The following is a 24,259-nucleotide window of genomic DNA, read 5'->3' as shown; positions in this document are numbered from 1 at the left end:
CCTCTTCTTCTCTCCTTCATTTTCTCCTTCCTTCCTTCCTTTTTCCTTCCTTTTTTCTTTCCTTCCTTCCCTCCTCCTTTTATTGGAGGGGAAGAGGGTACTACCTTCCGTACTGGGATTTTAAGATGTTTCTGGCTCATCTTGTTTTCCCTCTCCCAACCCTGGAATCAGCCATCTCTCCAATAAATGCAGTGTTTTTTTTTTAACACAGACTTTTTGGCCAGAAAAATCTAGATTTTAGTCCTAGTTATGTCACAAGCTAGCTGATCATTTGTGACAAGTTTTTTTTAACCTCCCCAAGTCTCAGTTTCCACAGTTACAAAAGGCGCAAAATAGTTCCTATATCATGAGATTGAGATGTAGATTAATCCATATAAAGGATCAAACACAGTCTCTTGTGTATAAGTTCTCATTGCCCCACTTCCTTTGCTGGCAGAAGCTATGTGAGGGATACCAAGATGAGGGTAAATAAATTCTATGAACCTGTGAATGGCAATGCTGGAAGAATTGCTTCAGGAAGGGAAGGTAAATCTGTATCCGGAATATGTATCTGTTGCTGTGAAACAATTGTTGATCTCCCCATGATGTAAGGGACCCCAGGGTAATTGATCTATTGTCATTTGACTGGCATGTTTCCCGAGGAACTGGTACCATGTCAGGGACTCAATGCTATTGAGAATTTAGGTCTTCAGCTGGGGCACTAGCCAGATGAGGCTTGGTAAGGAGAAGTCCACGTTTTTGAGCCCGTGTGTTTTCTCCATCTCTGCCATGAGAGCCACTTTGTTCATGGGCCCTCTGAGCAAACACTAGCATAGATGGGAAAAGAAACTGACTGACATTTATGGTATCATTTTGTCCGCTTGACTGTATCCTCCTCCACTACAGATACTTTTGGGGGGGCATTTATATGAGATATGAATATCTTCACACCCTGCTTCCAGTTGAGTGGCTGGTTCCCCAAGGGAATATAGTATCAGGCGCGGGGTCTCACTCCAAACCCTACGGGTCTCCACAGGGATTCTACTGTTGGTGTTCACCAGGGCTTTCATAATGCATCTCTGTCTTTCTCTGACACTGGATATCATTGGATTTTATGCATCATAAGAACTGAATGAAGATCTGCCTCCTGGGACACAGAGCTAGCCGGGGAAGGTGGACTGTGGATCTGTAGGAGCGATAGTCAACACAGAGCCCTCTCCTGACTGCCCTATCTGAAGAAGCCCTCCCACCCCTCACAGTGACTCTTTACCGTACATCTACTTTATTTCCATTGTGGCACTTATAATTATCAGAAATGTCTTGTTCATTTACTTGCTAATTGTCTGTCTTCCCTCCTAGGATGTAAACTTCTGAGGGAAAATAATCTATCCCATTAATTTCTATATCCTTAGTGTGTGGAAAAATGCACGGCACATAGTAGATCCTCAGTAGCTAGAAACTGAATCTGTGATTCATGGTAAGATCTCTTCTAGCGTGAACATTCTATCATTCACTGTGTCAATAGGCTTTAATAACAGTTAGCCATTCTTATGATGGTGTATTTTGTTTCAACTCATCACATAGTCTGCATAGCTCAGTGGTTCTAGAAGACCATTATTTTCTCTCAGTCTAGGCAATCTCCCGTAATGGGACAGCCAGCTGCGGCACAGAATATCTATGCATTTTGGAATCAGGCAGGCACATCTAAGTAACTGTGATCTTGAATGAGGCCATAAGACATTTTTCAAATGTTTGACCTATGTGGGCAAGCGCACACACACACACACACACACACACACACACACACACACACCACACCAGCATGGCATTTAGTTTCATAGAATTCCAGGAAGGCACATGGATGCCGCCTTTTGCCTGTGATAATGGGCCTTTGTAACCAAGGAAAGGACCTGGTCCCTGTCCAGTGCAGCACGGGGAAATTCCTCAGAAAAACATCAAGAACAGGGGTGCATTGTTCTTCGAGACCTTTGTGCCTGGGTTATCTTAATTCCTTGGTTTCCATGTTCACTTGACCTCAATCATTCTCACAGTGACAGCAGCCAATCTCCAAATTCTGGGAAGTCTGCGATACAGTCAGTAGCTGATCTCCTCAACCCTCCACGCTGGTTAGCAATGGAAGCAATTGTATTCAAGATTGGACTGGCCAAAGGGTCACTGGCCAGGGGCCATTTTGAGGGGGAAGTATTCAACTTGTGTTTTAACCATAACAATGACCCAAACAAAAAAAGTTATAGAATTTGTACAGACAGAGACTATAACTTCATTTTCCTTGCCTTGCCAACTGGCATCAGACTCTGAGTTCCTTCTCTTGGCTACACCATGAGAGCCACATGGCAGATTCAGGGTGACTGTATGGGAGTGCAATGGAAAGGGGCATCAATTGAAGATGCATTTGTTATATTTCAAATCCACCACATGCTGAGATCCCAGCTTTGCAGAGAGGTGAGCCCCACTAATGCCTTCTTCTGGGACACTCCTGCGGGATCTAGGGTGAGTCCACTAAAGTCAGTTCTACTGATAATATCATGCTCTGGTTCTCCTGATAGGTTGAAAATCTCCTTTATCCCTGGAGGCTGGGAACTCATGGGGAGGAACAATGCTCCATCCTCTTCCTACCCTAAACCCTCCATCTCCACAAGGCTAACCCATGGGTCCATGTAAAGCTCTTTGCTGAATGAGGAAGGAGTTTCCAGAAGGCAAAGACAAGCTAAGAAAGGCAAAATAAGAAGTCCCAGGTAATTTAGAACTTCTTTGCCACACACAAGGAAAGATACACCTGGACTCTGGGTGTAGGCAGAAATGGTGGCGTCCTGGCAGAGGTGTGTTTGCCAAGAAACAAACAAAGCCTTAGCTTCAGGGCCCCTCCCTTACATGACCCTGGGAGGAGAACTAGAAATGTGTTCAAGTGTTTGTAGCTTTTTGTTCAATTTGTAGGAGTAAGATATTTTCATTCCAAGTGTTGCAGGACCGTCTCTATTGCCACTCCATTTTATTCCCTGTCAACATCCCCTCTGATTGTCATGAGAGGTGGGGTGGGGGAATAGAGTGGCCATGGACATCTGTGAAATAGTGAGAGGAAAGTTGCATTGAGAATACATTTAGTTTGTCTCGATATAAATTTTTTGTGTCATTGCCATTGCTGCCATATATAGTCACTAGAAGCTGCCCCATAGGAGTGGCTTGGAGGATTAGCCATGCTGCCCCACATGCTGGGTCTCCTAGCATCATCCTACAAATGAGCATGGCCTGACGTCACAGGAATGGCGTCTTGTGAAGCCTAGCACCATAATGGGAGAACAAGGGATGAAATGTACAAAGTCAGATACTAGCCTGGAAAATTCTTCCAAATCTAACAACTCACACAAAAAAAGAAAGTAGATATTAGTTTTCTGGGGTCTGTAACAATCTCAAAAAAATCATATGACATTACCAACAATAATTTTTGAAGCAAAATGAAATTTCCTAAACTCTCAATAATAAAAGATAAGGTTTACACTATCTTGCTAATGAAGAGATGGAACTACCTTCCTAATTTCTTTACAGGAAATGTTACAAAATCCCAGGATATTTAGCCAATAACTGGACAAACAAACAAAATTAAAAAACTGTGAACAAAAAGAGAAGTATGCCAAATAATGAAGTCATCAAAGTGTTATTTGCTGTGTATTTGTGGTGTTGGTCAACTTTTAAAAATTTTTGTAGTTTCTGCATTCAAGATAAATGATCACCTTTGAGGCTGATTTTTGTATCTTTAGTGTTGTATTCTTTTTTCTAATAAGGACTCCTAAATGGTATGTTCCAAGACCTGTGAAATCCTGAGCTGCCCTGTGCCCAGGGACTCTCCAGCTGCAGGGTACCTGGTCTTTCCTTCTGTCCTCAGCACAACAGCACATCCCACCTCCAATCTCTCAAAGTGTGACAAAACATCACCTGCCTGGGGAAAGCCCATCCCTTCCACAAAAAAAAGATCTCATCTTCTACCCTCAGAGATTGCTCTCGTCTCATTCTCCAGGTTCCAAGACATGTCTGTGCTCCAGCCAGGTGGGCAATAATATTTCACAGGTACTGAGGGTGAGTATAGGCTCAGCTGGGTGGGCAAGGGAGGCTAATTCTCCCATTTGAGTGTTCTTTTCAGCTATGGGTTCCATTGCCGGGCTACATACAAAACTTATTGTCCAAACACATTTATTCTTCTTAAAGACTATACAGTATAAAATCACAATAAAATTATTTCTTTTTAGAAGAGCTGTGTACCTTAGAGATAGAGGGGCTTCATAATTTTCCTTAGAAGTGTTAGGTTTCGGCCAGGCACAGTGGCTCACGCCTGTAATCCCAGCACTTTGGGAGGCTGAGGCAGGTGGATCACCTGAGGTCAGGAGTTTGAGATGAGCCCGGCCAACATGGCAAATCCCATCTCAACTAAAAATTCCAAAAAAAAAAAAAAAAAAAAAAAGGCGGGTGTGGTGGTAGGCACCTGTAATCCCATCTACTCGGGAGGTTGAGGCAGGAGAATCTCTTGGACCCAGAAACCCAGGAGGGGAAGGTTGCAGTGAGCCGAGATGGCACCACTGCACTCCAGCCTGGGTGACAGAGCGAGATTCCTTCTAAAAAAAAAAAAAAAAAAAAAAAAAAAGCGTTAGGTTTCTTCTTCCTGGCTTTGTTTGAGATGGAGGTGACAACAGTCGATGGTGTCTCAAAATGATTACGGTGACTGAGATTATGCCCAGTTTAAAGAAGAGTAGCTGATAAGTTTGTGATTTAATACTGCTGATGGAAATCATCATGATTTTGGAATCAAAGGAATTGAATAAACCATTGCTAGCCATGTGTGGAGTTAAATCCCTTCACGACTAAGCCTGTTTAACAAATATTGAATAGTTGAGTGCCTACTATTTGCCAGACACAAGAAAAAGCATAAACTCATTAGACTTTTCTATATTTGTGTAAAATATTAATAAAAAGTGATTAAGAGACACATCAGAAATCAAATAATAAAAATTAATTTAATGGTAGCCAGCACTTTATTTTATCACCCCGTTTAAGGCACAGAGTACCTATTTCAGATATATTATTTCACTAGGTCTAGTCTTCCCAATAAGCCTATGAGGTAGATACTGTTGTTATTCCGTATTATAATGTGTGTACTGAAGTGTAGAAAAGTTCTCAAACTCACACGTCTAGGTGTAGCAGAGCTGAAATCCAAGCCCAGGCTTGGCTACAGATGCTCTTCATGCAATCACTGCTTCATATCTTTGCCTTATACCACGAAGTCGTTCTTGTGGGTACTGCTATCCCAATATTCTATTACCAAGGAAGGAACAATGAGAGATGGTCCAATCTGATGTCAACTTTAAAGATGAAGATTAGACTTCCTATTTTGGTTATGATAAATAACTCGTGCCTGCCAGGAACAACGATAAAAAACTAGATTTTAAAAAGCTGTTGAAAGGCAGCCAAGATTTGAGTGGCCAAGATCCTGAAAGAAAAGGAACAGATAGACGTGAGCTCTATGGTGGCCACCACATTTCTCCTCAGGGTGCTTAATGATGTATGTCACAGAGCAGAGACCAAAGGCTTACAGCTGAGGTAAACATAAAATTGGAATTTAAGGCTGTTAAGGCAGTCAGGATTTGTGAAGCCAAGACCTCAGAGAAAAAAGGACTGTAGAGAAGTGAGCTTAAATTGCATCATGCATAAAAAAGAAGAATCATGTACATTTTCCAACATGTTCTCAACCTGGCATGAGGTTAAATAGCCTTAATAATAAAACTGACAAAGACATTACAACAAAATTATTTTTTATCTTCCTCATGAACTTAGGTACAAAAGTTCTTAACAAAATGTGAGCAACCAGAATCTAGTAACATATTAAAAGGAAAATACATTACAACCAAGTTGGAATTATTCCAAGAATGCAAGGCTGGTTTAACAATTGAAAATCATTCCAAATGCTGTGGAACCAAAAGAAAAAAGAAGAAATATTAGAATCTCCAATGACACAGTTTACTGAATAAATGAGAATATGGAGGGAATTGTGATTATCTCAATAAGTGCATTAAGATATGTAATATAATTTACATTGATTCATGATAGAAAGGCTAAGCAAAATAGAAATAACAGGGAATTTCCTTTATCTAATAAAGGTCATCGATAACAACTCTATGACTAATTTTATACTTAATGATGAAATGTTAAAACTCTCCCCCTCAAATTAGGAGTAAGACATGAATTTCTGCTGTCCCTATTTTACTCAACATTTTACTAAAGGTGTTATCTAGTGCAATAAGGCAAGCAAATAAATGGCACAAGAATTGAGAAGGACAAAATAAAGCTGTTATTATTTGCAGATGACATGATATATGCAAAAATGTGTTTATTTTTTATTTTTACCAAAAAGTAAACAAATAAGCCATTAGAATTAGTAATTTAATTTTGCAAGATTGCAGCATACAATCTCAGCCTGTCAAAATAAATTGTACTTCTATATACTAGGCAGAAACAATTAGAGTATGATATTTTTTAAAAACCACCATTTGAAATAGAATACAAAATAATCACTGGGAATAAATTTAATGAAAGGCCTATAAGGCTTTTACTTATAAAGTCATAAAACATTACAGATACAGATTCTAAAAGACCCAAGTATATGGAGGAAATACAAAATGTTCATGAGTTAGAAGATTAAATATTGTAAATATGTTAAATCATCTCTAGTTTCACCATAAATTCAACGGAATCTCAATTAAAATTCTAGCAGGTATTCCTGTGGAAATTGACAAGCCAATTTAAAAATGTATGTGAATATGTAAAGGACAGAGAATAGTGTAGAAGAGCTTGAAGAAGAGCAAAATTGAAGAACTTTTGCTACCAAACGTTAAGATTTATTATAAAGCTGCAGTAGTCGGGTCAGAGTGATATTATTGTAATGATTGACAAACATAGCAAAAGAACAAAATAGGCAGCCCAGGAATAGGTCCATATATATGTGGTCTGCTGATTTATGACAAAATTGCTACTGTAGTCCAGAATGTCTTTTCTACAAATGGTGCTGTAATAATTGGATATCTACAGGGGGCAAAAATGAATTCCAGATGGGTCACAAATCTAAATATGTTAAAGTAAAGCAATAAAACTTCCAGAACGAAAAGTAGAAAATATCCTTTTGGCCCTAGGTCAGGCAAAAATTTTAAAATAAGACTTTAAAATGCCAGTAAGATAGCATTAAGAGAGTGTGAAGGTAAACCACACAGGAAGAAAACATTTGCATCTAGTATATATAGAAGTCCTTTAAATCAGTAAGGAAAACACTGTCAACCTAATGTTCAACAAAGGCAAAATACTTGGACAAAGGAGAATTTACAGATGGCCGATAAGTATAAGCAAAGTTGATCATGGAAAATCGCAAATTCAAACCAGAATGATATGCCATTTACATACCCATCAAAACGAGTAAAATTAAAAAGCCTAACAACAATGCCCAGCATTGGAGAGGATGTGGAATAAGTGAGCTGTCCCAAACTTTCTGCTGGTGTAAATTAGAGTATCCGCCTTGGAAACCTGTTTGATTGTATTTACTAAACGAGAATATGCAGTGTCCCTAAGTCCCAGAAATTATACTACAGATATGCACTCAACAGAGACAAGTATAAAAAGGTTGCTAGAAGCATTACTCCTAATAGCCTCAAAATAGAAAAATAACACAAAAAAACAGATATCAAGAAATAAATTATGGTTAATTTTTACAATGGAATATTACATAGCAGCAAAAAGTAATGAACTTCTGCATTATGAACAATACTGGGACAACACAGATGGATCTTGCAGGTATAATTTTGAGTGAAAGAAGGAGACACTAAAGAGTCTATTTATGACATTATTTATTCATTGAAAAACAGATAAAATTAAACTATGATGACAGAAGTCAGGGCAGTGGCTACCCTTGTGGGTGGGTGGTGGGGAGGGGTATGGGGCAGCATTCTGGAAGTTTGGTAAATGCTTTCTATCCTGATACAGGCCATTACAGAGCACATGTTTGTAACAGTTCTTAGATCTGTTCACTTAAGATCTATGCATTTTCTGAATATATATTATAGTGCAATTTTCAAAAGCATTTGAAAAGAGAGATTAGGCTCATTTGTTTTATCAAATCATCCACTGAGGGCCCACCCTGTGCCAGGCCTTATGCCAGAACTCAGGTATACAAATTAAGGAAACTGCTGGATGCTGTTAAAATAGACAATCAGTCTGTATACATTAAACATTATAATAGTCTACAAGGGGCTGTGGGAAGGCCATATTGGGGAAGGGTGGATGTTTTGGCAGAAGACAGAAGTGGTTCCATTCTCAGCTCTGGATAGATGTGTATGTGAGGCACTTGAGAATCAGTGTGAGTCTTTTCAGAGAAGCCTCAGACAACGCAGAAGTCAACTGGCCTGGCCTCTTCAAAAAACTGATGTCATGAAAAAATGAGGTGGAAGGGCTCTTCTCTAAAAAAACAAGGCCAGGTTTGATGGCTCACACCTGTAATCCCAGCACTTTAGGAGGCCAAGGTGGGAGGATTGCTTGAGCCCAGGAGTTTGAGACCAGTCTGGGCACCATCTTTACACAAAATTAAAAAAAAAAAAGCTGGACGTGGTGTCGTGTGCCTGTAATCCCAGCTACTGTAGAGGTTGAGGTGGGACGATCACTTGATCCCAGGAGGTCGAAGATGTAGTGAACCATGACTGTGCCACTTCACTCCAGCCTGAGCGACAAAATGAGACCCTATCTCAAAAGAAAGAAAGACAGAAGGAAGAAATAGAAAGAAAAAGAGAGAAAGAAAGAAAAAGAAACAAAGAAAGAAGAAAGAAGCTAAAATGTAATGTGTGAAATTTTTTTCTGTTCTTTTAAAAGCTTTGTACCTTTTTTTAAGCAATGGAGGACATATGCATATGAACTGTCTATTGGATTATGCTAGAGACTTTCCAATACCTTACGTGTAATAAATCATATTGTGTAGAACACCCTGTTGTAAGGATATATGTACTGCAGTATTTAGGGGTGAAGTATTATGAAACTTTAAATGTTTCAGGAAAAAAAGATAAACACACACACACACACACACACACACATATATGTGGATAAAAATCTGGCAAAATTATTGGAGCTAAGTAGTGAGCAATAGGTTATCACTGACCTATTCTTTGAATTAGTTTGTATATTTTCATAAATTTTTGAAAAAATATGAAGCAGATTGGGACACCACAATGCCATTTACTAGCTGTGTGATGTTGGGCAAATTACTTAATTTGTCTGCACCTCCCTTTCTTCAACTGAGTGATAATTATGGCACCAAACTTGCTGTTTTTTTGGTGGGGAATAAGTGGCTTAATATATATAAAGTGTTCGGAAGAGTTTATGGCCAAAGAAGAACATCGCTTTAACGTCTCAACTGGCAATCCTCACTGAGCCCAGTTCTCACTCACTGTTCTGGCTCTTCTTCCTATTTCTGACTTGGATTTATTTCACTCCTAACCCTGTTAAAACTCACCTACCACTTCTCTGTTCTGGCCTGCAGATTCAGAGGCCCTTTCTGTGGTCCATCTCTTTCAACATTTGGGTCCTTAGAGAGCTGACAAAGGTCCAGCCATTGGAAATGCTGGCTCTTTGTTTCTGAGTTGTCTCCCGTCGCTGAGGAAGATGCCAAAATAGGCAGGTGCCAATTAATACTCATCCCTGAGGGACTTTACATGAAAGAGTGTTAAGAGCAATAGCAAACTAATAAAAACAGGGCTCAGAAAAGTCTAATGCTGGGTCCCCGAACTTGATTGTCTACTTTTGGTAGAACTCAAAGAGCTCCTTTTCTTCTCCATGCAGAGGAGTAATGTGGAGAAGTAAATGCAAGGCTCTGGACTAGAGGTGCACAGTTGAAAAGGGAGAGGCCAACCATGTGCTGTGGGTCACACCTGTAATCCCAACACTTTGGGAGGCCGAGGCGGGTGGATTGCCTGAGCTCAGGGAGTTCGAGACCAGCCAGGGCAACATGGCAAAACCCTGTCTCTACCAAAAATACAAAAAATTAGCCAGGCATATGGCACATGCCTGTGGTCCCAGCTACTTCAGAGGCTGAGGTAGGGGGATCCCTTGAGCCTGGGAGGTGGGGGTTGCAGTGAGCTGAGATAGCACCACTGCACTCCAGCCTGGGTGACAAAGTGAGATCCCATCTCAAAAACAGAAACAAAACAACCATAAACAACAACAACAACAACAAAACAAACAAACAAGAAAAGGGAAAGGCCATGAGAGCTAAGAGGGTGGTGCAAGCCCTTGGGGGCTGCAGGACCTCTCCATCTCCAGCCCACATGGCAAAAATTTTAAAATAAGACTTTAAAATGCCATTAAGATGGCATTCCTTTTAAGGGAACCCCTGGTTTCCTGAAGGTCAAAAAACAGGTCGAAGAAATAATGGAAGCTCAAAAAGATGCACTGGAAATCCATACCTGTTCACTCTCTCCACCTCTAAGGAGTGGGAAGTAGCTGAGTTTGATAGGACACTGGCCAGCATAGACACTGGCCTCTGGCTCTCCTGCAGCAGGGAAGTCCACAAGTGATGGCGAGGATATCTCCTCTTGGACACAGCTGTGCTCAGGCTTGCAGAGTCCTGTGGCTGCTTTGGGTTCAGTTTTTCCATTGTTGATGAGATGGACGCTGTAGCAGGCAGAAACCGTCTAGGGGAGGACCTTGAAGGCAACCCAAGAAGTACAGAAGATTTACCAGAGCATCACGTGGATGGAGGTAGAGGGCACATGGGCCCAGCTGGGGGAGTTGCAGGAATGGAGACGCAGAAAGAGAAAGCGAGGAGGAGGTAGTGATGGTGTATAAGAGGAGAAAAGGGGGGTGGTGGAGATGCTGTGATGGAATGGAAGAACTCTTCCTTTGGAGAGAGGGGCACTTGGAGGATAACCCAGTGGTAGGGAGGTAGTGAGGGATGGCTGATTAAAGGAGAAGAGACCTGCTGCCCTCCGAGCTCCAGGCCCCCTGCCCTCTTCCCTGCCTCTTCTGGTAGTGTAGGAAATGGAGATATGTACATAAAGTATGCATTCATGGAAAACTAGAACATTTTGAGATTCTTGGCTTAATGATATATAATAGGGTAATTGTGACATTGTAAAATATATATTTGGTCTTTGACCCATTTTCTGACATATAGCTCCTAAAACTCTGGAAATCTCTGGAGTAATAACAACATCTTTTGCATGCTAATGAGATGACTGGTGGCCAGAGTAGGTAGTTCATGATGAGGCTGCTCATCAGAAAGACCAAGGCATGAGTGGAAGATTGGGACTTTCAGCCCCAATCCCCAACCTCTAGGGAGGAGAGAAGAGATGAAGACTGAGTTGATCACCGATGGCCAATGATGTAATCAATTATGTTTATATAATGAAACTTCCATAAAACCACAAAAGACTGGGTTCAGAGAGCTTCTGTATGTTCACGTGTGGAAGTTCCTAGGGGGAGACTTGCTGAGGAAGGAACAGAAGCTCCATGCATCTTCCCACATACATTGCTTCAAGCATCTCTTCCATCTGGCTGTTCATCTGTATCCTTTTTGATATCCTTTAAAATAAATGGGTAAACGTAAAGTATTTTCCTGAATTCTGTGAGCTTCTCTAGCAAATTAATCGAACACAAATGAGGGTCACAGGAGCCCTGATTTATAGCCAGTGGGTCAGAAGCACAGGTCACAACCTACGCTTGTGATTGGCGTCTGAAGTGGGGAGGCAGTTTTCTGGGACTGAGTCCTCAATCTGTGGGGTCCGATGATATCTTCAGGTAGATGGTGTGAGAATTGAATTGAATTAGAGGATACTCAGCTGGTGTTCACTGCAGAATTGCTTGCTCGGTGTGTGGGGAAAGTCCCGCTCACATTTGCTGGAGAATTGATTGGTTGGAGTGTGAGAGTAGTAAAAACACACAGGCTTGTTGTTTTCCCCTATATCCTTTATTTGATTTAATACTTCTTAATCTATTGTTTGTTATGCTCCTTTTATTTAATTTTGGGAGTGCATGTATTTGGGGAAATGTGTATTGTCCAAGATAATAGATATCCCCAGACATGCTAACTAGGACAACCCCTAAGGGTGAGACATTGCAAAATGGTGCTTGGAATTGCCTTGAAAGACCACTTGTGCAATGAGCCAGTGACACAAGGAGGTGACAAAATGGACTTCTCCAGGTCTCTGGTGAGCCATATCTTCAATGTAGTCTCATTTTTCAAAGAAGCTGGACAAAGTTATCTTTTTTCCCCAAACCCTCAACTAGACTTGGGAGCCTCTTTCAAGATCTGAGAAAAAAATTAAACGATTTTACATTGACTAAAATATCTTCAGTTTTTAGCTTATGCTTAGGATATGAAGAAGAATGAAACTAATCAAGATGTAGTCATCCATTCATTCTTACTAATAATTTAAGCCCAGACAGTAGGGAAAGTACAGATTTGATCTTATTTGATTTTTGTGGATTGCCCTAAAAGAGGGTGGGAGATCAAATTTTTTATCTTTTTGTGAGCTGGTTTATTTTATATGTATATTGGCAAGCTCAATCTACAGTCAAGTTTGCATAAGATCTTGATTAAATTTGTTACCCTGACCACTATTGGATTTTAGCAAAAATGCCTGATAGAGAAGTGTGATATGAAAATATATATATGTCATCTTCTTCCCAGTTTCCTGGCATACAACTCCTAAAATCCTCAGAATCTCCAAAGTGCTTTTTGTATACTAACGTTCACAGAAGCTTCAGGATAGGGCTGGTTGCCAGAAACCCTGAGAAGACAGAAGCATGATTAGAAGATTGAGACTTTCAGCCCTACCCCTCAACCTGTGGGGGCTGGGGTGGGGGGGCGCTGAAGGTTAAGTTGATTGCCAATGGCCAGAGGTTTAATCAATCATGCCTATGTAACAAAGCCTCCATAACAACCCAAGAGGACTGGGTTCGGAGAGCTTCTGGATAGCTGAACACAAGGAGGTTTTAAGAGGTTGGCGTACCCAGGGAGAGTGTGGAAGCCCCATGCCCCTTCTTCCATATCTTGTCCTATCCATCTCTTCATCTATATCCTTTGTAATACCCTTTACAATAAACCAGTAAATGTAAGTGTTTCCTTGAGTTTTGTGAGCTGCTCTAGTAAATTAATGGAACCCAAAGAGGAGGTTTTGGGAACCCCAACTTGAAGCTGGTTGGTCAGAAGTTCCAGAGGCCTGGACTTGTGCCTGCTATTCGAAGCAGGGGAAGTTCTGGGGACTGAACCTTCAACCTGTGGGATCTGGCACTGGCTTCACATAGATGGTGTTGGAATTGAACTGGAGGATGCCCAACTGGTATCCACTGCAAAACTGATTGCTCACTTGGTGGTGGGGAGAAACATCCCCCTACACCCAACATTTTGATCGTGGATGTCTTCTGTGTTGGTGACTGTTGTGGTGTAGGAGAAGACGAAAAAGTAGTTTGAGTTTTTTCTAAACAAGAAGGATAGGTGGGCTGATATTTAGAATTGGTATTTGACCCAGGAGATATAGGCTCTGCACCCACAAGTGCGTTTGTCTCTGTCATCTTGGACATAATCACTTCAAGTCTTAGTCCCTGCCCCTGCCAAACTGGCCTTACTGTACCATTCACATACTTTGTAACGCTTTGTGAACTAACAAGCACGTCAAGCATTGTGAATGCTCTGGAAGAAAACACCTTATGATCCACCCGTTATTTACTGTTACACAATGACTTTTCCATAAGCATTCAGGGCACACCATGGCTGGGTTCACATGACATAATTTATCACCCTCTTGCTCTGAGACTGTATTACTTTTTCATGTTTTGAAGACTCAGCTGTCTTCAAAATGTCCCTTCTTATTTAATAAATGATCATTTGCAAAAGTGGCAGAGACTGGCAACTGAGCATCATTCAAAACTGAGCAAGGGCCTTTGGACCTTGAAAAGGCTTATGTTCCTCCTTTCCAATAGTTAACTACAGTTCTCACTCTCTCTTAGAATGTCAAGGAGATACATAAATAAAATCCCTCTTGAGATCAGTCAGTCTCATTTTATCATTTTTAAATTTAGAAGGGGAGAGTCACATGGGGTGCTACAATTTTGTTCAATTATTAATCCAGTATTTGGATATATTAGTGTTGGCATTGTCATTGATATTCTTGATCATTGAAAGATGTCCCTAAAGTCAGTGCCAGTTCACATGTCTCTTTTTCAGATGGTTAAAAATGGGGTCCTCAGGCCCAGTGGAAAGCGGTTCCCATGCTCTTTCTTTTGCCCCAAAACTTTCAGAGACAGAAATGTTGAACATTGCCAGAACCCAGAGCGTTTTTTTGAATATCCTTCATGGTGGTAAATCTTTGTCCTTTAAGTCTAGCTATTTTTGGGAAATTGTCTGAAATAATTTAGAACAAATTTGGTATGAAACAAGGAGGACAGTCATGCTGGTGGTGAACACCTTATTCTGGTCAGAAATAAAGCAAAGAAATCAAGTAACAAGAGCAGCCTCTTGTCTCCCCACTTTCTTCTGTCTTCTCCTTGTGGACCTGAGCAATGAGTTAAATAGATGTTTAGCGCAGGTCAGACAAGCAGGCATCTACCCAGTGGGCACACTATTAAGTGCAGCACAAAATCAAAGCTCACTGGATAGAGAGATGGCTTACCATGGTGGAAAGAACATCAGTTTAAGAGCCAACTTGGGCTTAAATCTCAGCAATTAATTCTGTGGCCCTAGATAATTTACTTAAACTCTCTGATTATCAGTTTCTTCATCTGTAAAATGGGGAGTTTTAACACCTGTCTCAAAAGGTGAGTGTTAAGTGAGACAACAGGTTTTAAGGACCTGATACACAGTCTGGCACAGTAGAATTTTGTTCACTGGTAGTGATTGTTGTAAACCTCCAAGTTCCCGTCTGTCAACTCTGACTTTTAAGAATAATTCCTAAATTGTGTCACCTCTTCAGTTGCAGGGTGTTATGCTTTCATAATATTTAGCACTCTATGCTATAACATTTTATGTTTGTCAGTCTCTTCTAGTAGGTAGAGATCTCCCTGAGAATAAGAACTTGTCTTGTTTATGTTTTTATCCATAGTACCTAAGTGCCTAGGTGCCTAGGTCTAGTAGCTGAAAATTAATCCTTGAATAAATGGAATAAAAACTGAAAACATGTCTATTGGGATAAAGACCTAAGCTGTGGTAGCCAAGAAACTCAAAAATACAGTGGCTTAAAGAACATAGTCTATTTCTCTTTTTTGTACCTGTTTCCAGATGAGCTATCCACATCAGTGGGTCAGCTCTGCTCCACATAATCACTCAGGGAACACAGCTTCTTGCATGTGTTGCCCCTCTTTTCCTAGGGCATTGTTACTGTCTGCCTGGAGAATGTTGAATCTCTCCTGTGGCAGCCAGTGAGTAGGAGAAAGACCATGTGGAGGGGCATACCCTCTGATGCAAGGCCCAGGCTCTGAAGGGTTATGCATCACCTCCGCTCACATCCCAAAGAAGATAACTTAATCGCATGATGCAGCTAACTGCAAGGGACACTGGGAAATGCAGCCTAGCCTTATGCCCAGACTGCCTGGCTTGTGTCCTCGTGTGTATCACAGGAAACCTCATACTCAAGCCTTCTTTGCTCCCTAGTTTGGGGTAGGGTAGGCCAATAGGAGACATTGGTGGGGGACTGGAGGGCAGGAGCAGAAGGAAAGGCAGTGTAGTTTTCTACCTCTCTGCTTTAGCTGCATTTCCTCCACAGTTCTGCCTCCTGCCCGATAGTCCTACCCTCCATGATCCCGGCTCTCCTGAGACATGCCCATTGTGGTTCTGGCTTCCTGGGCTACAGTAACATCACCTCCTACTTTGTCCCTTTAACCACAAGGGGAAGGGCTGTTTTCTGATATTGCTAATTTCTTGATTACCTCATTTTCTCCTGTTTGCCTTTTCAATGCTTCCATACACTTTGGAGCCACTTCCCTGTGTTAATTCCCTCTCTTTGAAACACCTGACACAGTTTGTGTTTTCCTGATCAGACACTGATTAAGACAAACAAGAAGAGGAGAATGGATTTTTATGCCTAACGATCAGTCTCCAACACAGTTCACCCCCGGCCACCAATCAGTCATGTGTATTCTTCTTCCCACACATAGAGCACAACCACTCTTCCTCAAGGGAGACCATCCAAAGCACTGCCCCATTTCCGAACTAAGCTCAAAGTGAAGATTCTCAGGCCTAACTTTGTCTCTTCATGGTTCAGTAATCTATGTATACAAAAAGACAATTTATCTCTACACTTCCTTCTCCCTTCAACACACACTCAATATACAATAGTAAAGCAGGAACAGGGCAACTGCAAAAACTCAAAAAGAGAGGAGTAGATTGGGGAGCACATAGCAGTCACTGGTCCAGAACCAAGGAAATCTTGCAGGGCAGACCTTGTGAAGACTCACTACCCCAGCAGGGAAGTGAGTTCCTTGGTTAGACTTTGGCTCTGTTCTTTTAGAGAAATTCCACCCATTCTTCTCCATGTCCCCTGCCCCTGCCCCTGCCCCTGAAAACTTCCTGATTGTCCATTAATCTCTGGAGCCACATCTAGAGTGGGGACTGGGTAATAAGGTTTCCCTGGTAGTGGTGTAGATTGTACAGCCCAGTCCAATGATAAGAACTTGGGGGATGTGATGCTTGCCTGAACTGAATTCTGTATCAGTCAGCATTCAGTGCAAGAAACAGAAATCACCCCAGTGAATTAAGCAGAAGGAAATTCCACTCAGGGCGATGAGTGCTCATGAAATTATTAAAAAGGCTGGAAAAACAGCAGCTAAGGAGTGGCTCCTGGGCTTCAAAACCCTGCTACAGCAGCTCTGATCTGAGGTCCCTGCTGCTACAGTCCAAAGTTCAGGAAGCAACATAAAAATGCTGCCAATGCCACAGCAGCCCAAGTCCCTGAGGCTGGTAATTGGACAGTGGAATGGGGAATCTGCTGTTCCAAAAACCCGTATCTGTTGGAGCCCAGTCATCAGCTTCCACTGCGATGGAGAGACTGATGTCTCCCTTTCTTTCCCTTTCCAAATCTCTTGCAAGAACATCTCAGAGGCAAAACTTACATAACACCCAGAACCCTCAAGGCAAGGAAAACTAGGAGATAAACACAGGGTGTGTCGATTAGGGTCCTCAAGGAGCAAGCACCAAGATGGGATTAGATGTGCAAGATATTTACTAGGAGAATCGTCTCTGCATGATGAAATGGGAGATAACCATGGCAAGGACAAAAAACCAAACACCGCATGTTCTCACTCATAGGTGGGAACTGAACAATGAGAACACATGGACACAGGAAGGGGAACATCACACACTGGGGACTGTTGTGGGGTGGGGGGAGGGGGGAGGGATAGCATTAGGAGATATACCTAATGTAAATGATGAGTTAATGGGTGCAGCACACCAACATGGCACATGTATACATATGTAACAAACCTGCACGTTGTGCACATGTACCCTAAAACTTGAAGTATAATATTAATTAAAAAAAAAGAATGGGAGAAAGCACAACCAGGCAGGGAGAGCCTTCAGACCACAATGCAGATCAGACACTTGTACAAGGAGAGAGGGAAGGAAGGATTGTGTGGGGCAAGCCTCAGGCTGCAGCACAGTTCTAGAACATCTTGACCAGGCTGATGGGGAGTCCTCATGCAAAAATTTCCCATTAGAGGATTTCCACATTGGGCAGGAATAGGCTGGCACTAGGACCCCTACCCTACCGTGCTTATTTCACCAGCTGTCAATGGTGTGGGAAAGTGTAGTCTTAGGGCAAATGTGGCAGATGCAAATACAAGGGACAGCTGGAATTGTCCACCAACCAGTTTCCCTGCAGCAGTTCCTCTTGGAGTGACATAGCTCCATAGCCACCCCACGAGGGACAGAGCGGGTGGAAACAGAAATAAATGGTTGTTGATTTCAACAATATGTGGCACAGCATCCTCATTGGGTGTTCCTTCAATCATCCATTCCTCATCTATCTATCTGAAATAACTTGTGTAGTTACAAGCAAGAGATAACCATTTTCCTCTTGCTTTTGTCTTATCAGAACTTTTAGGAGGAAAAAAATCCGTCAGTAGCATTATGTAAAAATAAAACTATTTTAATGAAAAGTGCTTTAATCGGATTAAAGAAAGCACAAAAGGTCAGTTTGGATTAATATACCGTGTAACCTTTCTATTCCCTGTAAAATTCTTGGAATACCAATACAAGTTGGTCTGCCTTGTTTCCTGAGTTTTGCTGTGATGCCATGCCTGTTATAAAAGAGAAATTTTCATGTACACATAAAATGCAATAATTATAAGAATTTGCCCTTACTAATAGGTACCAGATACTTTACCAAGTGCTTTATATATATCAGCTGATTTTGTTTCATAACAAGTGAGGTATCATGATCATCATGCTCATTTCCAAAGGGGAAAGAGAAAGGTTATGTAGCTCACCCCAGGTCATGCAGCAAGTATGGAAAACAGAAGTCAGATTCTCCTGTTGTCCTTGCCTGCACTCTCTGAGCCCTTCTATGTGCTGCAGGGCTCTATTCTACATAGATCACTCCATCAGTCCACCCAGCCCCATGGAGTGAGTTCTACATGTAGGTCTACAGTTCCTTATCTAGGACCCTTGAGGCCAGATGGATTTCAGAATTGAGAAGTTCTGAAATTTTAGAAGGTACTGTGATTCATATACCACATATAATGTAATGCTTCTAGTGAGGTCTGGGGCAGCACTTCATAATCAATGTAAATATTTATACCAAATGGGATAAATATAAATAAATATTTATATCACTGTCAATATTTCTACCAAGTGGGATAAATGGCCCTATAGTAAGTAAGTAATTGAGTCAGGATTTGAGCCCTGGCTATTTTAATTGGGGTCTGGTTTCTAGGGTATGGGTCTCTCCTTGTACTCAATTCTACCTCCAACATGCAGTGGCACTGATTCTATTATCAGCTGTTTACCTCAGTCTAGGCACTCTGCTAGGCACTTTGCATATCCCATCTCATCAAATTCTCTCAACTGCCTTAGGACATAGGAATCAGCCTCACTTCTCAGTTGAAGTAACTGAGACTCAGACATTAAGTAATTTACCCATTGTTAGGATGTAGCCTGGCAAGATTTGAATCAAGGTCTGTTGGACTTCAAAACGCCACACCAACTTAGTTTTCACAATGAAAGCCCTACACCTTGAGGAGTCTAACAAACTGCCAGCACTTTGGCACTGACACACTCAGCCATACTGGCTGTAGTTCTGCTCCCCAGGCAGCTGGAGCTCTGTGCTCATAATGCCTTTTGTCACTGAAGTATATGTCTTAACATTCCTGATCTCAAGCAATGGTTCAGTTCACTCTCCCTGATGGCAAAGAACAATCTGATATTCCGCTAGGAACACTCAGCAGAGTTGCTTTCATCTTCTTGTCCCTTCTTTCTTGTAAAAAGAAGCCCCATTTCATCAGATGTGATAATCCATTCACATCTGTTCCAAGAGGTTCAGGATTGTATTACTCTGTTCTTGCACTGCTGTAAAGAACTATCTGAGACTGGGTAATTTATAAGGAAAAGAAGTTTAATTGTGCTTACAGTTCTGCAGGCTGTACAGGCTTCTGCTTCTGGGGAGGCATCAGGAAATTTACAATCATGACAGAAGGCAAAGGGGAAGTAGGCACATATTTACATGGCCAGCAGGAGAGACAGAGAGCAAAGGGAGAAGTGTTACACACTTTCAAACAACCAGATCTTGTGAGAACTCTATCACGAGACAGCACTAGGGGAATGGCGCTAAACCATTTGAAACCACCTCTGTGATCCAATCACCTCCCACCAGGCTCTACCTCTAACACTGGAGATCACAATTCAACATGAGATTTGGATGCGGACACAGAGCCAAACCATATCAAGGACATCCACCACTGACACAATTTATTGTCATTAGTTTCTAAGCCTTTCTTGGGTGTCTGCTGCTAGCAGAAGAAAGAAACACAGAAGAAAGGAAGGTTTCTCATGATTCTCCCCTGGTTGCACCAAGAGGCTGCTGAGGGCCTGAGAGATCTGTTACAGGTAGGCGCCACCGTAGATCATCCCTTTATTCTTTCCAATTTGCCACATAACTATGGCAATTTCATGGCTAGAATTTTAGCACAGTCCAAATATATATCATATGTGGTTCTGACATATTCTACCATTTAGTGAATGGTTATTATGTACTAGACACTGCTAAACATGTATAAAAACACGTCATTCAATCTCTTCTATCACCTTAGGCAGGGATTATTAAAGGCTTATTAACCCATTTTACAGATGAGAAAACTAAGACTCAGAGGGACTAAATTTCCATAGCTAAAATGAGCCACAGATCCAGGATTCTAACCCAGGTCTTTCTGAACCAACAGTCTCTGCTATTAACTCCAGTACCTCTCTTACAGTCACTTTCATTACCCCAACAGTAACTGCACTTGTCATGCCACATGCCTGATTTGGGTGTAGACATTCTCGACTCTGTGTATTATATAACTTCTGCTCTCCAGCTGTTTGGAACTTATTCTGATATCACCTATAATTTGGTCTAACTATACTTAAAATATTCAAAAACATGTTGGTCAGTCAAATCAAATTTACTGGTGGGCAGAAGAATGTTATATGCTATTGCCATTAACTTCTTCCATCTCAGAAATCTATGTGGGATTGAAACAGGTATTATGATCATGTTGCAAATGAGAAAAACTATAGCAGAGAAAGGTTAAGAGGTATGTCCAAACATGTTTATTAGTTTAATAATTTGTAACGGGTTATTTTATGTCCCCTCCCCAAAAGATATGTGAAGTCCTAACATCCAGTACCTGTGAATATGACCTTATTTGGAAACAAATTCTTTACAGAGGCAATCAAGTTAAAATGAAGCCATTAGGGTGAACCTTAATCTGATATGACTGTTGTCTTTATGATATGGCTTAGATATTTGTTTCTTCCAAATCTTATGTTGAAATGTGACCTCCGATGTTGTAGGTGGGCTTAGTGAGTGGTGTTTAGGTCATGGGGGCAGATTCCTCATGAATGGCTTCGGGCTATCCTGTATGTAATGACTGAGTTCTCACTTAGTTATTTCACATGAGAATTGGTTGTTTAAAGGAGCGTGGCACCTCCTCCTCTCCTTCTTGCTCCTTCTCTTGCCATGTGACATCCCTGCTTCCCCATCACCTCTGACATGACCAAAAGCTTCCTGAGACCCTCACCAGAAGAACATGCTGCTGCCATGCTTATACAGCCTGCAGAACCATGAGCCAAATAAGCCTTTTTTTCTTTATAAATTACCCAGCCTCGGGTACTCTTTATAGTAATGCAAATGTGACTAAAACATCTTATATAAGGGGGAAATTTAGACACAGAGACAGACATGAACAGAGAGAAGATGGTGTAAAGACACACAGGGAGGAGCTAGCCATGTGGCTGGAGTGATGCGCAAGCCAAGAAACACCACGGATTGCCAGCAAAGGCCAGTGGTAGAAGAGGCAAGAGAGGATTCTCTTCTAGACCTATCAGAGGGAGCATGGCCCTGCCAACACCTTGATCTCAGACTTCCAGCCCCCAGAACATGAGACAATAAGTTTCAGCTGTGTTAAGCCACCCCATTTTGGGTACTTTGTTAGCACAGCCCTGGGACACAAATACCATCAATATTTATGAGGGCCCATCAGGTGCCCAGCACCGTGCCAGGCTAGAGATAGAATAAGACATAGGATTTACAATCAAGCACTGACAGCAGACATTCAATCAAAAATCCACAAATAAATATTCACAGTTGCCCTATGCACTGTGAAATAAAGGAGAATTCCTTGGTACAGGAACACTGGATTCTAACCTCATCTGGGGGTCAGGAAAGGTTTCCATGAAAAAAAATGAGTTTTAAAGCTGAGGCTAAAAGGGTCTCAGGAGTTGGAGAAGGGTATTTAATGGTCATGCACAAATATTCTGGGGAAAGAAAACAGTTTGTGAAATCATGAATACAAGGACAAAAAGAAGGGGTTTGGGGAAAGGTAGAGGAGACAGCCAGGGGCCTGAGTGTGCCCGTAAATATCAGCGTTCAGCAGGAGCCTCCTGATTCCAATTGCTTGTCTAATTTCCACCTCCCACCCCACCTGAGCATCGGTCCTGGAGGATCTGTACCGTGCAGGACCAGCCTTATCTGGAAGAGCTGATCATTTGTACCACTCAGCCAGCTTTGCACTCGGCCGCTCAAGGCCACCAACCCTTGCCTTGCCTAAGTCTCAGTCAGAGGGGCACCTGCTGGGAAGATGAATGTGACTTGCTTTGGGCTTAGCTACCATTTACCCAAACTCAAGGGTCTGGAAAAGGTCTCCTTAGTTACAGTCAAATGGTCAGTAACTTCAGTTTATGGCCGTGTCTTTTTTCAATTTCTTAGAGTTCGTGACTTTGAGTTCTGCATGAGTAAAGGAGTATTTTGGCACAATAGAAAAGGAAATGATTTATTATCCCTATTGCCTCAGACACGGATGCTATGGCAACATCGAGGCTCATTGCCGGCCCTCAAGTTGTGCACCCTGGGTTTTTGTCTCAGATCTCTCATTTTCACAGTAACCTTCACTTTGGACTCTTTATGGTCCATATAAAGAGAAAAATAATAGTGTCTGCTTCAAATTAAAGTTCTTGGGAGGATTAAATAAAAAAAAACACTTAGCAGAGTACCTGGCTCTTTGCAAGCACCCAGTTGATGTTAAGGAGTATTATATTATTAATATTGTTATTACTCCTATTAATTAAAGCCTTTTACAATAGGAGCACACTTTTAGACTTTCAGGCGACTAACTACATTCCCATATTCTTCATAATCAAGACTAAGCATAGGTAAGTGGTTAGTGGCTATGATGTTAATTAACTTTCTCCAGTAAAAAGGGACAGAGGAAAACTCTGCACTTAAACAGCTGATTCGATACAATGAGGTCTATTCCGCAAAGTCTGTCACAGGGGGCCCTCTGCTTTCCACTCAGAGGAAACAGAACTTAGAGAGCAAAAAGATCACCACTCCCCTCCTTTTTAATTAGAAAGCACTAAGAAGATGAAAACGCATAATAAGGCTCTCCAGTAGTTAAGTGTAATTCACGCAATGTGTGCCTGGGGACTCTCTCCATCATTACTCCAAGAGGCCGAGCACTACAGTGAGGAGCTGGCTATGGCAGAGCCTGGCATCATCAAGAGTTCAAATCTCAGCTGCATCATTTACTAGCTGTGAGACATTTACAGGGCAATTAAGCTTTACTGAGCCTCAGTTTCCTCGTGGGTAAATGTGACGATAATGACACCTATATCTCAGTGTAGTTGTGAGAGTGAAAGTTGGTAATGTGGTAAATGATGCTACTGACTACCATATGTTGAAAATATGACACATCCGAGGACATGGGAGGCACCCCATGGACATTAGCCCTTGGTATTATTTTGGGAAAACTCAAGCATCCGGCATAGACTCTTTCATGTGTGAGATCGTGGGTCACAAGAGATTTGAAGGGGTCATTAAGTAGATGGCAGCACTTTCATTGTTTTCTGAGTTGAAGACTGAACCTTCAAAATCAAATAGGCTGTGTGAACTCAGGAGTAAAAACAGGTATGGAGAGGGGAAAAGAGAGTAGAGGCAGGGAGAGTCTCAAGCTTTTTTTATTGAAGCTTTCAGACTCTAGAAAATTCTTGGCAGTCAGGGTTAAGTGGCGTAGACTAAAGGAGTCAGTGTTGCACAACGGTTAAGTGAAGAGGCTGTAAACCCAGACTGGATGGGTTCAATTCCCATCTCTGCCGTTACTAACTGTGACCCTCAGCAAGTTAAATTAGGTGCCTTCATATACTCATCTGTAAAATGGGTGTAAAATAGTGACTGCTTCTCTGGGTAACTGGCACTTAGTCCAGTGCTAAGCATGTGGCAAATATTTAAAAATGTTAACTGTTAACAGACCTGAACTGACTTGCTAATTTGTCTGCAAATTAGCAAGACAAATTTGACATTTTAAATGACTGTCGGGAACTAATTTGTTTCTGGAATTAATTCAAGGTTATAACTTGACACCTTATTATTCAAGTATTAAGTCTGGCCAACATTTTTCCATTTTGTGATTTTGTTACTGAAAAGCGGTCCCAATCTAGACCCCAGGAGAAGGTTCTTGGATCTTATGCAAGAAAGAATTCAGATCAAGTCCACAGAATATAGTG

General features: G+C 41.6%; 1 pseudogene, besides 1 other annotated feature; it reads left to right on the top strand.

The window, feature by feature from the left end:
• Positions 22,239-22,473: a silencer, noted in NCBI's record as "fragment chr15:92255680-92255914 (GRCh37/hg19 assembly coordinates)". NCBI's record gives its function as "represses an EF-1alpha promoter that drives an FKBP-Casp9 reporter gene in an ReSE screen in K562 erythroleukemia cells {active_cell/tissue: K562}" and the evidence as "EXISTENCE:reporter gene assay evidence [ECO:0000049][PMID:32094911]".
• TRY-GTA12-1 (tRNA-Tyr (anticodon GTA) 12-1) lies at positions 23,779-23,851 on the top strand (annotated as a pseudogene).

The sequence above is a fragment of the Homo sapiens genome, chromosome 15 (genome assembly GCF_000001405.40).
Source record: "Homo sapiens chromosome 15, GRCh38.p14 Primary Assembly".
Lineage (NCBI taxonomy): Eukaryota > Metazoa > Chordata > Mammalia > Primates > Hominidae > Homo > Homo sapiens.
The sequence above is the reverse complement of the archived record's forward strand: the minus strand, read 5'-3'. Positions and strand labels throughout refer to the sequence as shown.